The following is a 16,114-nucleotide window of genomic DNA, read 5'->3' on the forward strand; positions in this document are numbered from 1 at the left end:
AGGAAGCCAATGTGGGGGTTCTGCCAGCTGCTAAGTATGTCTATGCCAATTATATACTCTGGTCCTGGAAAAATGACCACAAGATGAGTCTGGGGACCCACTGGACTCACTGTAAGTCAGACCTGAGCTAAAACTCCATTAATTACCTGACCTCCATAAGCCCCTACTTTAACTGGAGGACCACAATGATGTTTTGGGTTCCCTGGAATCAACCTCAGCTCAAAGCCAGTGTCCAGTAGTCCCCAAAATGTCTGATCATTTCCCTTTCCCCAGTACACAGTTACCTTGGTAAAAGGCCAGAGGTCTCCATAGGGAAGGATGGGAAAAAGATTCACGGCATAGTGAATTGAGATCGCACCACTGCACTCCAGCCTGGACGGCAGAGCAAGGCTGCATATCAAAAAAAGATTCACTACATAAATTGTCAGTAATGTAGTGGGGTCCTTCCTCAAGGGGACCTGGCCTTCCCTTTATTCAAGGGGTTCTGGGTTTGTAAACTGGCTCAAGTCTGGAAATTGATTGAGGGGCCGTGATTCTGTTTTTACAATTCAAATTAGTCTTGTCCATTCAACCTAGAAGTTTTCTGCTTATGAAAATTAGGTAGGAATGTAGTAGGCTTCCTATCAATTTTAATTCTAGGAACACTGTAATTAATTAGCCAGTGCCAGCACTCTACAGGAGTCAGTCTATTCTGATTGCCGCTTTGCCTCTTCCGTCCATTATGGTAGCTACACCCACCTTGCCTTTGATGGTTGAGTGCTGCCACCTGGCCTCTGCCACCTTGGGATCCAATTATTCCCATTGTATTTAAATTTTGTAGTTGAGTGACTGCAGTTCCCACTGTTAGATCTGACATACAGAGAAGAGCAATTACAGGGCTCTTCAAAAATGCAGGTCCTGCCCTCACAAATCTATTTCACAAGGCATTGGTCAAGGGTGTATCTTCTGACCCTCTCTACTGGGATGAGTAGGTCTAAAGTGACTAATCCACTCCACCATCCCAATCTCCCTAAGCCTTTGGATCCCTTCCTCTACATTAAACTGAGGGAGATGAGGCATTTCCAGCTCACTCACAGTGGGCTATCTTTTAATCCATATTTTAGCTAACCAAGAAATAAACTCTTGGACCCTTTTTTAACTCCCCAAGCTGAGACATTAAATGCAGAGTCCCTATTTAGTGGGCCCAAATCAATAAATTCAGCCTGATCCAACTCTATGTTCCTTCCACCATTATCCCACACCCTTAATATCAATTCCCATGCCTGTTCTCCAGATTTCTGTTTATATAAATTAGAAAACTCAAGCAGTTATTTTCAAGTGTAGGACCCCTCCTCATGGGTCACACTCTCAACCTTACCTCTAGGTGCCTGCCGGGACTTTAGTCCAGTTACAGGTCTAGAGGCAAACAAGGTTGTTGGGGGTGGCTCCTGAGAAGAATCAACATTATCTTGCCTGCCAACTGCCTCAAGGGAGGCCATCACTATTGCCTCAGGCAGTGCAGGGTTTATCTCCCCAGACAAAGGTGGAAAGGCTGATGGCAGCATGGGTCAGGGTGGGGATGTTGCCACTACTGGGGATGGGGAAGCTGTTTTTTTCTAGCAAAAAGCATTGTCAGAATTTACAAACTCAGTGTCCCCAGCTTCATCAGCGTCCTCCCGGGCATCCTATTCCAAGTTGCAGGGTCTCATTCTTTTCCAATCAATGCCCTCACTTTAACAGTAGGCACCTGGTGGGGCTGTGCATGCACCTTTCATTGCAGGTCAGCTACTCACATAATAAGAGCTTGTGTCTATTTTTCAACAATTTCAGCTCTTTCTCTACAAGAGATAAGACTGTCACTCAGGGCAATCTTAGCAAATTTTGAGGCTCAGTGTCTGCTTCTGAAGCCAGGAGTTAGAATCCCTGAGTTCATCATTTTCTCTCAACACTTTGTCTACTGAACTTAGGAGCACCCAACCAGCTTTGTTATGTTCCTTGGTTCTCCACATATGTCAAAGGTATTATGTATAGAGTCACTAAACTTGCCTGTCACAAGCAGTGAATCAGGAGTGTCAAATGCATTTATGTTGCATAACTCTCCAAACGGTTCACACCAAGGACTATCAGTGTTCTCCATACTATTAGAAGTAGAGTCCTTAGCATTTTTCGGTCTAATCATATGAAGCAGCCAACTCCAGAAGCCCCAAAACCAATGAAAGAACTCCATCCTTAATACTCTGTTCCTCTAGAACCACTCCTTGTACCAAAATCTGTATTAGTCAGAGTTCTCTAGAGGAACAGAACTAATGGGATAGATAGATAGATAGATAGATAGATAGATAGATAGATAGATAGATAAAGAGTTTATTAAGTATTAACTCACATGATCACGAGGTCCCACAATAGGCTGTCTGCCAGCTGCGGAGCAAGGAGAGCCAGTCAGAGTTCCAAAGCTGAAGAACTTGGAGTCCAATGTTCGAGGGCAGGAAGCATCCAGCATGGGAGAAAGACGTAGGCTGGGAGGCTAAGCCAATCTCAGATCTTCACGTTTTTCTGCCTGCTTTAGATTTGCTGGCAGCTGATTAGATGGTGCCCACCCAGATTAAGGGTGGGTCTGCCTTCCCCCGCCCACTGACTGATATGTTAATCTCTTTTGGCAACACCTTCACAGATACACCCAGGATCAATACTTTGCATCCTTCAATCCAATCAAGTTGATACTCAGTATTAACCATCACAAGATTCTTACATTACTACTAATAAACAAGAACTGAAAACAAAAACAAAAACAAAAACAAACCGAGACAGATCCCCCATTTGTCTCTCTTCACTCCCTCTTCTCTTCTTCCACATGTCTCTGCAGTCTTTTCTGCAGCAGCCATTTGTTCAAAGAGCCCACTTCCTTGAACAGCTGCTTGCCAGGCTGCATGGTCATATAATGTTAGGTGAAGAGTGAAGAGCTCTGCATGAGGCCCCACTGTCTATCTAAGAGCAAGGGTTCTTGCCTCAAAAAAAAAAAAAAAAAAAAAAGGCCTATCAAATGGTATAAACTAGGATTTAGCAAACTATGGCCCATAACCTGTTTCTGTTAATAAAGCTTTATTGGAACACACCAACGCCCACTCATTTGTGCATTGCCTGTGGCTGTTTCAACATTGTAATGGCAGAATTGCAAGAGACTGCATGGCCCACAAAGCCTAAAATGTTTACTATCTGTCTCTTTACAGAAAAGGTGTGCTGACCCCTGGCCTATACAATTAAGAAATGCTTGCCTCTGTGGCTTCCAATCACAGCAAAATTTTTTGTCTTGCAGAATAGATATGAAACCTTTTTCAAAAATACTGATTCTTCTATTACAGTGGTTTTGGGGTTTTTTTGTTTTGTTTTGTTTTGTTTTGTTTTTTTTGAGACAGAGTCTTGCTCTGTCACTCAGGCTGGAGTGCATTGGTACAATCTCAGCTCACTGAAATCTCTGCCTCCTGGGTTCAAGTGATTCTCTTGTCTCAGCCTCCCGAGTAGGTGGGATTACAGGTGTGCACCACCACACCCGGCTAATTTTTGTGTTTTTAGTAGAGACAGGATTTCGTCATTGTTGGCCAGGCTGGCCTCAAACTCCTGACCTCAAGTCGTCCACCCTCCTTGGCCTCCCAAAGTGCTGGGATTACAGGTATTACAGTGTTTTAACCTGTAATATATGTAACCTGACAATGTGTAAGTGAGAAGTGCCCAATATACTCTTAGTTCTGAAATTGGCTAACTGGAAAACCCTTGCTCTCACGTTTTTCTTTGTGAACTCGTTCTTCCTGCCATTCCCTCTCTCATTCTGTAATATTTAAGTGAACTCATACTCACTTCAAACCTTCCTCTGTTATCACTAGAATATGGCCTCTGGAAAAAAAATCTTCACAATTCATTCTTACACAAGTGTGAGGGAATTTAGGCTTAAGGGATATACACTCTCATCTTTCCAAGTACAGCCAGTACATTTCTCCCTTTTGGGTTTCCCCGCATCTTATAAATGTCTCCATCATAATTTCTAAAACACTATATTGTGTTTCTTTTAAATTCATCTGCCCCCAAGAATCAAAACCTTCCTGAGAGCAGAGACTGCTTCTTATTTATCTTTGAACCTCTAGCATCCAGTACCCAGAAAGAGTCTACTTCCAAAAAGATGAATGGAAGAAGGAAGACAGGCAGGTTGGCAGGCTTCTTGGATTACCGTTCCACTTATCTATCCCCAATGCATTTGCATTTTAACAAAAGACAGCTTGAAGCCAAGCAGTGAAACTGTGTTGGTGGAAATTTTAAACATCAGAAGCAAGTGAGGGAGATGCTTTTGTGGATAGGGAAACATTCCTAGCATCCCTTCAATTTTATATTCATAGGAAGCATCCATCTTACCTAATTTTCAGGTCAGCCCTGAAAGAGAGAAGAGAAACGTACATGCTACATTTCTATAAGACTATAGACTAACCTTCCAATGCTCAAATAGAAAGTAGGAGAAAAATTAAATACATCCATATTAGCCACTGGGGCAACACTAACATGAAAGCCAACTGATGAGATATTTGAAAGTTTGTCTTGAGGAAAAAACAAACAAAGAAAGTATTAAATGCCAGTAAAACTTCCCCCAAAGTCAGAGTCATCTGGGGTTACCAATAGGGGGCAGCAGGACCTGGAGTTAAAATCTACTGGAGTCAAACTCCCTGAATTTAAATCCTAGCTCCACTTCTCTGTGGCAACAAGATCTTGCACAATTTCCTTAACCACTTGAAACTTCGATGTTTTTAATCCACAAAGTGGAGACACAAATACAGTCAGGCACTGTATTAATGATGCTTTTGTCAACAATGGGCCTCATATACAATAGTGGTCCCGTAAGATTATCATAACGTAGTTTTGCTCTACCTAGTTTATGTTTAGATACACAAATACTTCCCATTGTGTTACTGCTGCCTACATTATTCAGTACCATAACACGGTGTACAGGTTTGTAGCCTGGGAACCCCCAGTGACACCTTACAGCCTAGGTGTGTAGTAGGCTACACACCATTGAGGTTTGTGTAAGTTCACTCTGTGATGTTCACACAATGACAAAATTGCCTGAGGATGCATTTCTCAGAACGTATCCCCATCATTAAGCAATGCACACCTGTAGTGTTCCTCTCACAGGTCTTTCTTTTGAACTGGTTAATAATATAACTCAAATAGTAGCTATGGTTATTCTTAGAGAAACCATTCATTCAGCACCTCCCACATGTAAGTCATTGACTTATCCTTTCTAAAATTTTCTAACCCCAGAGCTAAATATTCTAACATCAGGCACATCAAATGTAATGTATCTGACCTTTAGGTTCAATACAATATTATACCCCACAGGCTTTTATTTAAAACCCCTTATGTCCCTAGCACTGTCTGTTAACTGTAGAACATACTAGAGGAGAAGACTCTGTCAGCTTCTTCGGGGCTTTAAGGCTTGTTGGACAGGATTCAGAGACTACTAGGCAGTGTACTGCTCATTACTCAAAAGAGAAGACTGCAGCCTTGGGGAGCCTTCCTGATATGGGCATGGTGCAAGGGGAACCACGTGCCACTCTTCCAGCAGCATCAGCTCATCTGTTAGGCTGGTGCAAAAGTAATTACGGGTTTTGCCATTACTTTTAATTGCGTCAAAAACTGCAATTACATTTGCACCAACCTAATAGAATGTAAGTTCCAGGAAAGTGGGATTTTCATCTGTTTTGTTTATTGCCTTATCCCCGGTACCTAGAACACTGCCTGGCACTTAGTAGGTGTCCAATAAATGTTTAAGGAAAGAAAAAGAAAAGAAAAAGGAAATTGATTGGTAGTTGGGTTTGGACATGCCTTTTAGGGAAAAATTGTATGGTCCCCTTTTGTTTCGTGTATTTTCTCCTCCAACTATTTATCTGACTCCCTCCAGCTCCTCTTGACCTCCTCGATCTTCCTTATAGTTTTGTGCTTGTCTCTGAGTGTACTTTGGGTTTGTGGGGATTTGTACAAATATTGCTTAATCCCACAAGGGAGTATGTTGAGTGTTTTCCATAAAAAACAGTAACCTAGAAAGAAGGTGAGATTTCTGGGCAGTTGCCAGCAGTTACCATGGTGCTCTGAACACATGTCCTCAAAAAATATTACTGATTTGACCCCACAGCCACAGTACATGGCATTTCTCACACATGATGAGACTCTTAAGAGGCATCTCTGTTCTGTGTTCAAACTGATGTATAGGGTACAAGTCTTCCATTTGTTCACTCTGCATTTATGAGAAATCGCCATCATAGTACCGGATTCCAGGCGGTAAACTAGAAGCTCATCATCCTATCTGCTTCTCATTTGCGTTTCCAACAAATGGAATACTTTGATAGAAAGTTGAATTGGAAACCATAGTCGAACATACAAAAGCGCATTCCCAACAATTTTTTGAAACTCATAATGGAAAAATATATCCCAGATTTAACCAAGAGAACTGTAGTTCAATAATTGGCAGTACAGTTGTCATTTCTCTTTTGATTATTTTAAAAAGAGATTTTTAGAAAAAGTTTGTTACTGATGCTTAATTTGTTCTTCCTGTGTAATCAACCCATAGTTATAAGCAAGCATTCCAAATTGCACTATATTTCTTGCATAGGGTAAAACATTATGATTCTTAAAATGGAATGCCAACTTTTTCTAGTCACACAATTGCTGAAAAGCTGCCTGCTGAAAAAGACTACATTTACCATGAACTCTTACTACCAGACAAGGACTATAGTTTCTGATGAATAGGGCCTGATAAGGCTGCCTGATTAAAAAACAAAAATCACTGGGCAACATTCGTAGCAAAGGAAAAGATAAGACTATGCTTTATCCAAGTTGCAGTGCCTTCAATAAGATTTTTATTCCTTTTAGACACACATATCACTAAAGGGCAGTTGTACTTCCCATATTCTCTAGCCTTTGTTATTATTTTTTCTTAAAATTTGCACCTGGGAATTAAAGGCTAGGAGTCCTTGGCTTAAGTCTGCTGCACAGAAGGAATCTTTTAAAAATGTAAGTGATCTATTAGTCATATTTCTAAAAGGGGAGCTTTGAATTAATCATCTTCAAACGTTTCTGCCAAGATAAAGGTCACCACACAATTACTGTCCTCACCCACTGGCCACAGAAGGAGAGAAGGAGAATGATGCTCCTGGATCTCACACTAGAGCATGCAGGATGCAGGCAGCCTCACGTGGCACACTTGCTTTCCACATAAGGAAACGGTGGCCCGGGGAAGCGACAGGCCAAGGTCACAGTTGGGAATCTGGGTCCTAAGTTGGGTGCCCTTGCCACTCAATAGGACTGCCCCATATTCGTTTCCTGTGGCTGCTATGATAAATTACCATAAATCAGGTGACTTTAAAAAACAGAAATTTATCCTCTTTCCATTCTGGAAATCAGAAGTCTGAAATCACAGTTTGGGCAGAGCCACACTTCCCCTGAAGGCTCTAGGGGAGGACTTTCGCTTGCTTTTTCATCCAGGCGTTCATTGGCTTGTGGCTGCCTCCCTTTAATCTCTGCCTCTGTTCGTCTTCACATACCCTTCTCTCTTCGCTGTGTCTCTTCTCTTAGTGTCTTTTTTTTTTTCTTTTTTTTGAGATGGAGTCTCACCCTGTCACCCAGGCTGGAGTGTAGTGGCGTAATCTCAGCTCACTGCAACCTCTGCCTCTCAGATTCAAGCTATTCTCATGCCCCAGTCTCCTGAGTAGCTGGGACTACAGGCGTGCGCCACCACATCGGGCTAATTTTTTGTATTTTTAGTAGAGACAGGGTCCCACCATCTTGGCCAGCTGGTCTCGAACTTCTGACTTCAGGTGATCCGCCCACCTTGGTCTCCCGAAGTACTGGGATTACAGGCGTGAGCTACTGAGCCTGGACTCTTAAGTGTCTTTTATAAGGACATTTGTCGTTGGATTTAGGGCCCACTCAGACAATCCCGAATAATCTCATCTCTAGATCATTAATTTAATCATATCTACTAAGACCCTTTTTACAAATAAGGCCATATGCACATGTTCCAGGGGTTAGGATGTGGACATATCACTTTTGGGGGGGCCACCATTCAAACCATTATACCCCATTCTTTTTCCTAAAGTAGTAGCCATCATCACATCATTTTAAAAGTTTTGTAGTGCATTAAAATAGTTGGTAGTCTCTTTTTCTCTTCTTCCCATTCACAAGTCTTCTTGGAGTCAGACCTGCATATTTGAATTTCTAATTCTAGCTCTGTCATTCACTACAACATTGCGACCTTAGGTAAGTTCCTTATGCATCCCTCTAAGCCTCAGTTTCCTCTGGTCTAAAATAAGAACAGTAATATCCACTACATAGGGTGCTTGTGAAAATCAATATGATAATGCATGTAAAGCACGTAACAAAGTGTCTAAGAAGAATCAGTTCTCAGTAAACGCCAGCTGATTTTAAATTAGAATAATATTCACCAAGATCAGTCTATTGCTTACAAAATGTAGACATTTGAGGTCTACTGGGGGACCCATTTCCAGCAGCCAGAGACATTTCTGGCACCAGCACGTGACAGCTGCCTCATTGTTGAGTGCTGACACATGGGTGCACGGCCTGCTCAGCAGTGGGGTTGGGGGGGAATTCCCGGGATGCTCTGAATTGTTGCTTTCTCAGCCCACACCATGGACCTTCAGATCTTCAGCAGAGCATAGAATAAGGAGACGTTCTGGTACCAGAAGGGAGACGAGACTATTCCAGCAGCCATGGGACTAGTCCCTTCGGATCTGACCAGCTTGGGGCAACGCAACTCAGGGTTAGTGAAAGAGTGGCTATATTGGGGTTTCTACATGGTGGGTGGGGGTGGGGAAAGCCAGTGGAAGGGTGTCCTGCTCTAGAGAGCTGCAAAGTCTGGGTCAGACACCCAGTTATACAACCTTCTGGGTTCCAAAGCTTGTCCTGAAGCAAAGAACCAGAATAGCCAAGCATAAAACCAAAAAAAAAAAAAAAAAAAAAAAAAAGCATTTATCAAGGATATTTGTTTAGTTGTATTTTTCTAAACAAATAAAGGGTGGCATGGAGTTATACTGTACTTACACGGTGACAATGGGTTGCCAGCCACACCCCAAATAGTTTGCATTTATTATTAGTTTATTCACCAGCTTAGTCCTCCTGTGAGGAAATCCAATCTCTAAAAATATTCTTCCCTGTCCTCTTCACACTGGGCACCCCTACCCCACACAGACACCACTTTGCTTAGGGGAGGGAGATAAGAATTCTGAATTCACTACAGTGATTGCTTCCAGTGGATGGTCAATCCAGAATTGGAGACAATCCTGCATGAATGCCACATTTATTAAAAAAAAAAAAACCCTAATATTTAGAACAGCCAAAAGAAGATACCAGTTCGGATACACACTGCACCCACCGTGAGACCTAAATTCAGTCATGCTGAACTCATTACAGCTATTTGAGTTAATTTCATTCATCCAACGATCCGAGCAACCCCAGCTGACACAGACCCGGGTCTTTTCTAGAGTGCCCAGAAATCCAGTCCACTGCCAGGCATGGAATTGACATAGAGGCACATTTTCCGCACCAATCCATGTCTCTTCATGTTACTGGTGCAGATGTTCTGATTGCTTTCCTAGGTCTCTGCATGGCTACAATGGTGGTTCTTGATATTTTTATTAACTCATGCTGTCTTTTGATGAACAAAATATATTTCATGCCACAGAAATTTTGTTATGCCCTTCCAGAGGCATATTCACCTTTCCAGAATTAGCATTAGTGGGTTTTGAACACCAAGGCAAAAAGTCAAGGTCATGGATCAAGCCGTTCACAAGCCGGTTATCTTCTCCCTGCTCCCTATGTGCAAATTCAACTCCAAATTTGACCTTTGTGCTCCCAAATGGATGCATGATGTCAGAAGGTATCCCAGATGAGCAAAATGGATGTGGGTAACGTAACCAACCACTTTTAACTGGGGGAGGGTGAGCACTCAAACTGTATTCTGCTTTTGTATATACATACAATTATTCATTTATGTTCCAGAACGGAAAAACAAATGCAATTGAGGACTGTCAGTATTTCGATCTATAGGTCAACATGTCTATTTATTCAACAAGCTTATCTGAATACTTGTTCTATGTCAGATTCCATGCTAACAGATTAGATTCGGTGATATATAAGATCCAGTATGAATCTTCAACGTGTTTATTATAAAGAGACAAGGTAGGAGTAGGGAAGGGAAGGGAAGAGAGAGAATTGTCCCTCCCTGAGTGGGTCGGAAAAGATTTATGGAGGAGGAGTGTCTAAGCTAGAATTTAAAGATGAATACAAGTTTTTCAGGCAGACAAAGTACAGCTAGGCAGGCAGATGGGAACTACCTGAGCCAAGGCATGGAGGCGTAAAGTGCACAGTGTGTTTAAAGAACAGTACACAGCTAGCTATTCTTGGAGTACACATTCTGCAGGAGTTTGTGTAGGGAAATGGCAATGATCAATCACTCTGAGTATATGTGGATTGGGTTATTGTTCCATTTACTTAACAAATGTTTACTGAGCCCTTGCTAAACAGAGGAATTCAGACCAGGAGCTGGACCTAAGGGTGATAAGGAAAATATGACATGAATCTACAAAACATAAGATACTTTTCATGAGAGAAGATGGTTTCATTCATTCATATTCATCAGCAACAATGGATTAAGTTCTAAATTAGCACCTACCAACACAAATGATTATAAGACATGTTTTTTGTACTTAAAGAGTGTCAGTCTAATGGAAAAAACACATAAATAAAACATGATATTATAATATATTCAATAATCAGTCTAATAGCATTTATTGGCTGCTTACCAAGTTCTGGACACTGATCTAAGTGCTTTATATTGATTAATTTAGCCCATCCTCACACAATATTATTATTGTCTGCATTTCCCAAATGGCAAAGTAAGGACTGGAGAGGTTACTCAAGTTGTTCAACCAAGGGTCACACTGCTAAGATTAAAATCCACGAAATTTGACCCCACATTCTTAACCACCACTCCAGAGGACTATAGAAGCATGGAACAGAAACACAGAAGCCATCCAAGAAGGGGTTGGGGAAGATGAATCCTTCCACCCCAACAGTAGTTACACGCTCTCTGAGGTCTCCGGGGAATAGAAAACCAGTTTATAGAATCTTGGGAAACTACCAAACTTAATGATACTAGAGTGTATACATCTAGAGTTCAAGCTCACAATAGTCCATTTTTTTCCCAAAAATTCCCCTACATTACATTTCTCATTCAAATTATTGTAACTTTTTCAATCCCCGCCCTCTTTAAATGCTAAAATCTCATTATATGCTTCTTAGATTTTTATCAAGAGACCTATATAGTTGATGGGGAAGCTTCTGACATTTCTCTTCAGGGTCTTCTTTTTCGGAGCACTCAGCATTTTATGTTATGTAATACCTTCTGAAGACCATTATAAAACTTTCTGGCTGGATTTGTACACTGCTAATCCATTATGTGTCAATCCCAGTGTCCTGTATGCAATATGATGAAGGTAGAATTATGTTTCTCATTCAAATTATTTTAACTTTCTCAACTCCCACCTAATTCAGTTCCCTCCATCCTTATAACTATCATTGACATGGAGTTGGCAAACAAAAAAGGAAAGTTGTAAGAACTCACAGCCCTAATGATCTTCTTATAAAATCAAATCATAAAGTAGAGAAAAAGTCAAACAGGACCGTAGAATGCTGAAAGATGGCCTCATCCTTGGAGGAGGAATCCAGGATGAGAGATCTGTGTCAGTAAGGATAGCATTTGCCTGGATGTCACAGAACCCAACTAGAATGACTTTAGCAAGGAAAGAGAGGGTTTTGGGTAACATAACAAGATCCCAGGCACCTGTTTTTCTATTCTGCTGTTGTCTTTGCAAGAGTTGTGATATATGTTCAGGTTTCAAGATCTATTCCGAACAGCAAGAAGGCAAAGGACAAGGAGTAAACAGAAGAAGCTAGCTAAGTCTGTCCCCTTTGAAAAACTTTTTCCAGGATTCACATGCTTGAGCCTCCATTTAAATCTCATCAGCCAGGTTTGGGTCACATGGCCTTCAGTAGCTGCAAGAGAGTCAGAGCAGGTCAGCCTATGACCTCAGCACATACCATCCCAGACAAAGCAGGGTTTTAATAGCAAGAAAAGGAAAGAGCATGCACATTGAGTTGGCACATTATCTATTATTACAATAACAGTGATGACTACATTCTCCTAAAGTTTCCTGATTAAAAAAAAAAATAGAAGAGCAGAGAAAAGGCAGGTGAAACAGATTACAAAACCCCAGGGAATATAGACAATTGACTAAAGCTGAGCCCAGTGTTACTTAAGTACTTGCCCCTTTGTGATTATCTCCTTAACACAGATAATCCATGGGCCTGAATCTCATAGTATGACTAGGAGTTAGACAGACTTGGGGAAGGCACCTAGGGGATAAAACATTCCCAGCCAAAGCACCAAGCTGGGAAGCACCATTTTGTATGGGGAATTACAATGCATTCCCTATTTCCAGAGATCAAATTGCAAAGTAAGGAATATCAGGCAGGTAAATGGAGCCAGATCACGGAAGGCTTGTGTTTGTGCTTTAAAAATGTGTTTATCTGGTATGAGAATCCTCTGAGGTGTCTTAAGCCAGGGAGGGAAGGTTCAGACTTAAATTTTAGATAACTCACCTTTAGTGACCATTATAGGATGGAATCAAGGAGATAAAAAGGAGGGCGGAGAAACAAGGTAAGAGGCGACCATGTTAATACAATTGGAAGATGTTGAGGCCCTGATCTGGTGGAGACATGGAGGAGTGCACAAATATGAAGAATTATTTCCTTTGAGTATCATGGAAGACTTCTTGGAGGAAGCAGCCTTTTATAACTGAAAATGAACTTTATTTTGTGTCTACACTCTGTATCTGAACAGTCTGAGGCATCCTTGCTTCATATATTTTGTAAAAAATTATGGGATATAAGTTAACCACTAATTATAAATTCCTAAACAACTTGTTCTACTATTCATAAGTAAAACGATTTGAAAAAAATTTTGGCAAAGGCTAAAAACGTGAAATAATACTCAAAACCTAAAAGTAGGAAAAGCCTATATCAAGTTACTTATAACCTCAAAAGTAATTGTTCTCTAGTTGTGGTGAGTATCCAGGGAGCAGGGTGAAAATACAGATACAGAAGCCCACTTCAGATCTACTAAATCAGAATCTCCACGGTGGGACTTGGGGATGAGTATTTATAATTAATTCCACAGGATATGCTAATATACACTGGTTTTCATCAGCAGCATGATGAACCTAATAGGGCATGATACACTCCACCATTACACATATTGACAAGAAAGAGGGCATGGGATCCGAGAATGTGCAATTAAGAGGCAAGAGACGAAAGTGCAGGCAGAAAGGCTGACACTCATATAGAATGTCAGAACCATGGAACTTGGCTGCAGAGCCTGGTAGGACTTGAGCAGCAGCTAGGTAGGAAAATGGAAAGAGCAGAGGAAGGACTGGGATAGGGAGACTAACAGGGATCCAAGCACAGCCACTTTGGGGGTGGGAGAGTGCTAGATGGCAATAGACAAAATCACCCTATCCAAAAGGGTGTGACAAACCTGGTCTCTCAACTTTCCAGGCAATTCATAGCTATGCTTTTGTTGGTAAATCAAGACAAATTTCTTTCTATGTAAAGTATATATGCTAACTATTATTTGTTGGTGAAAATATAGAGATTACATTGGTCAGTAAACAGAAGAAATTGCATCTCTGTCCCTTAGAATAGACCAAAGGAATATCTGAACAATTCTGATGAGAAAACTGTGAGTCCCTACAGTTCCATGTTATTAGGCAGGTCCCCAGCACGACAGACCCCTTACCAGCCTGACCAATTTTGCTCCTTAGAGATCACTGAGCAAATACCTGGTGGCTTTGGCACTGTTCCCTACTGTGTCTGTGACATCACCCATTTATTTTGTGAACATCCTACAGACACATTTCATGAAATGGGCCAAGGGAAAGAAGAAGGTAGGAGAAAGGAGAAGGGCAGAGGAAAGGAGAAGGTAGATAGTCCTGTGTGATGAACTTTTCTAACACTATTTCTCATTTTTCTCTGGGAAAAATAAAAGTAGCTGACTTTAAACAACCAGCTTCAGATCATCGGGGAACCATGATCACCCCCATGGATCCTGCTGCCTTCTGAGGCAGTATGCATGATTTGCAAAGACTTCTGTGTTTGAGGTCTTTTTCCTAGTATCCTGAGTCAGAACAAGCAGGGTGCATTTGCGTTGACATGTCTACGTGAGCTCTTCTGCTTTGGATTAGTCAAAACCATAAACAGCAAGTAAGGCTGGAAGAGGTGGTGAGTAGATGTATGGGGAGTTTTTGTCATCACAGCCCTCCCCTGCCTCCCAGTCCTTCCTAACAGAGTGGCAGCAGGCAGCTCGCAGCCATTCTGCATGACCAGAGGTGGTCTGAACCATGAACCTGCCTAATTCAGCTCTAAGATCTCTCCTTGCATCTTTTTAAAAACTTATTTTAATTCAGAGAGTACATGTGCATATTTGTTCCACGGGTATATTGCATCATGGAGGAGATCAGACTTCTAGTGTACCCATAACCCAAATATTGAATGTTGTACCCAATAGTTAATTTTGCAACACTTACTTCCCTCCCACCTCACCCCTCCCCACTTTTGGAGTCTATTGTTTCCATCTTTATGTCTATGGGTACCCATTGTATAGTGCCCACTTATAAGCGAGAGAATGTGATATTTGATTTTCTGCATCTGGATTAGTTTACTTAGGATAATGGCCTCCAGCTCCATCCATGTTGCTGAAAAGAAAATAATTTCATGCTTTTTTTTTTCCAGACAGAGTTTCGCTCTTGTTGCCCAGGCTGGAGTGCAATGGCGTGATCTTGGCTCACTGCAACCTCCACCTCCAGGTTCAAGCGATTCTCCTGCCTCAGCCTCCCAAGTGGATGGGATTACAGGCATGCACCACCATGCCCAGCTAATTTTGTATTTTTTTTAGTGGAGACAGGGTTTCACCATATTGGTCAGGCTAGTCTCGAACTCCTGACCTCAGATGATACGCTCACCTTGGCCTCCCAAAGTGCTGGAATTATAGGCATGAGCCACTGCGCCTGGCCAATTTCATGCTTTTTTATGGCTGCATGGTATTCTATGGTGTGTGTGTGTGTGTGTGTGTGTGTGTGTGTGTGTATATATATATATACACATATATACACACACCACATTCCATGGTGTATATATAAATATATATACACACCACATTCCATGGTGTATATATAAATATATATACACACCACATTCCATGGTGTATATATAAATATATATACACACCACATTCCATGGTGTATATATAAATATATATACACACCACATTCCATGGTGTATATATAAATATATATACACACCACATTCCATGGTGTATATATAAATATATATACACACCACATTCCATGGTGTATATATAAATATATATACACACCACATTCCATGGTGTATATATAAATATATATACACACCACATTCCATGGTGTATATATAAATATATATACACACCACATTCCATGGTGTATATATAAATATATATACACACCACATTCCATGGTGTATATATAAATATATATACACACCACATTCCATGGTGTATATATAAATATATATACACACCACATTCCATGGTGGTGTATATATAAATATATATACACACCACATTCCATGGTGGTGTATATATAAATATATGTATATACCACATCCCATGGTGTATATATAAATATATATATACACCACATTCCATGGTGTGTGTATGTGTACACATACCACATTCCATGGTGTTTATATGTGTGTGTATATACCACATTTTCTTTATCTAATCAACCATTGATAGACACTTAGGTCAGTTTCATGACTTTGCTATGGTGAATAGTGCTGCAATAAACATGTGTACAGGTGTCTTTTTTATATTATGATTTCTTTTCCTTTGGGTAGATAGTCAGTAGTGGGATTGCTGGGTTGAATGGTAGTTCTATTTTTAGTTCTTTGAAATATCTCCATACTGTTTTCCATTGAGGTTGAA

At 41.0% G+C, this 16,114-nt stretch overlaps 1 protein-coding gene across 3 annotated transcripts in view; it reads left to right on the forward strand.

The window, feature by feature from the left end:
- PLEKHG7 (pleckstrin homology and RhoGEF domain containing G7) overlaps nt 1-16,114 on the forward strand; it is a 69,467-nt gene that overhangs the window by 9,741 nt on the left and 43,612 nt on the right. The window lies entirely within an intron of this gene.

Source organism: Homo sapiens, chromosome 12 (genome assembly GCF_000001405.40).
Source record: "Homo sapiens chromosome 12, GRCh38.p14 Primary Assembly".
NCBI classification, from domain to species: domain Eukaryota; kingdom Metazoa; phylum Chordata; class Mammalia; order Primates; family Hominidae; genus Homo; species Homo sapiens.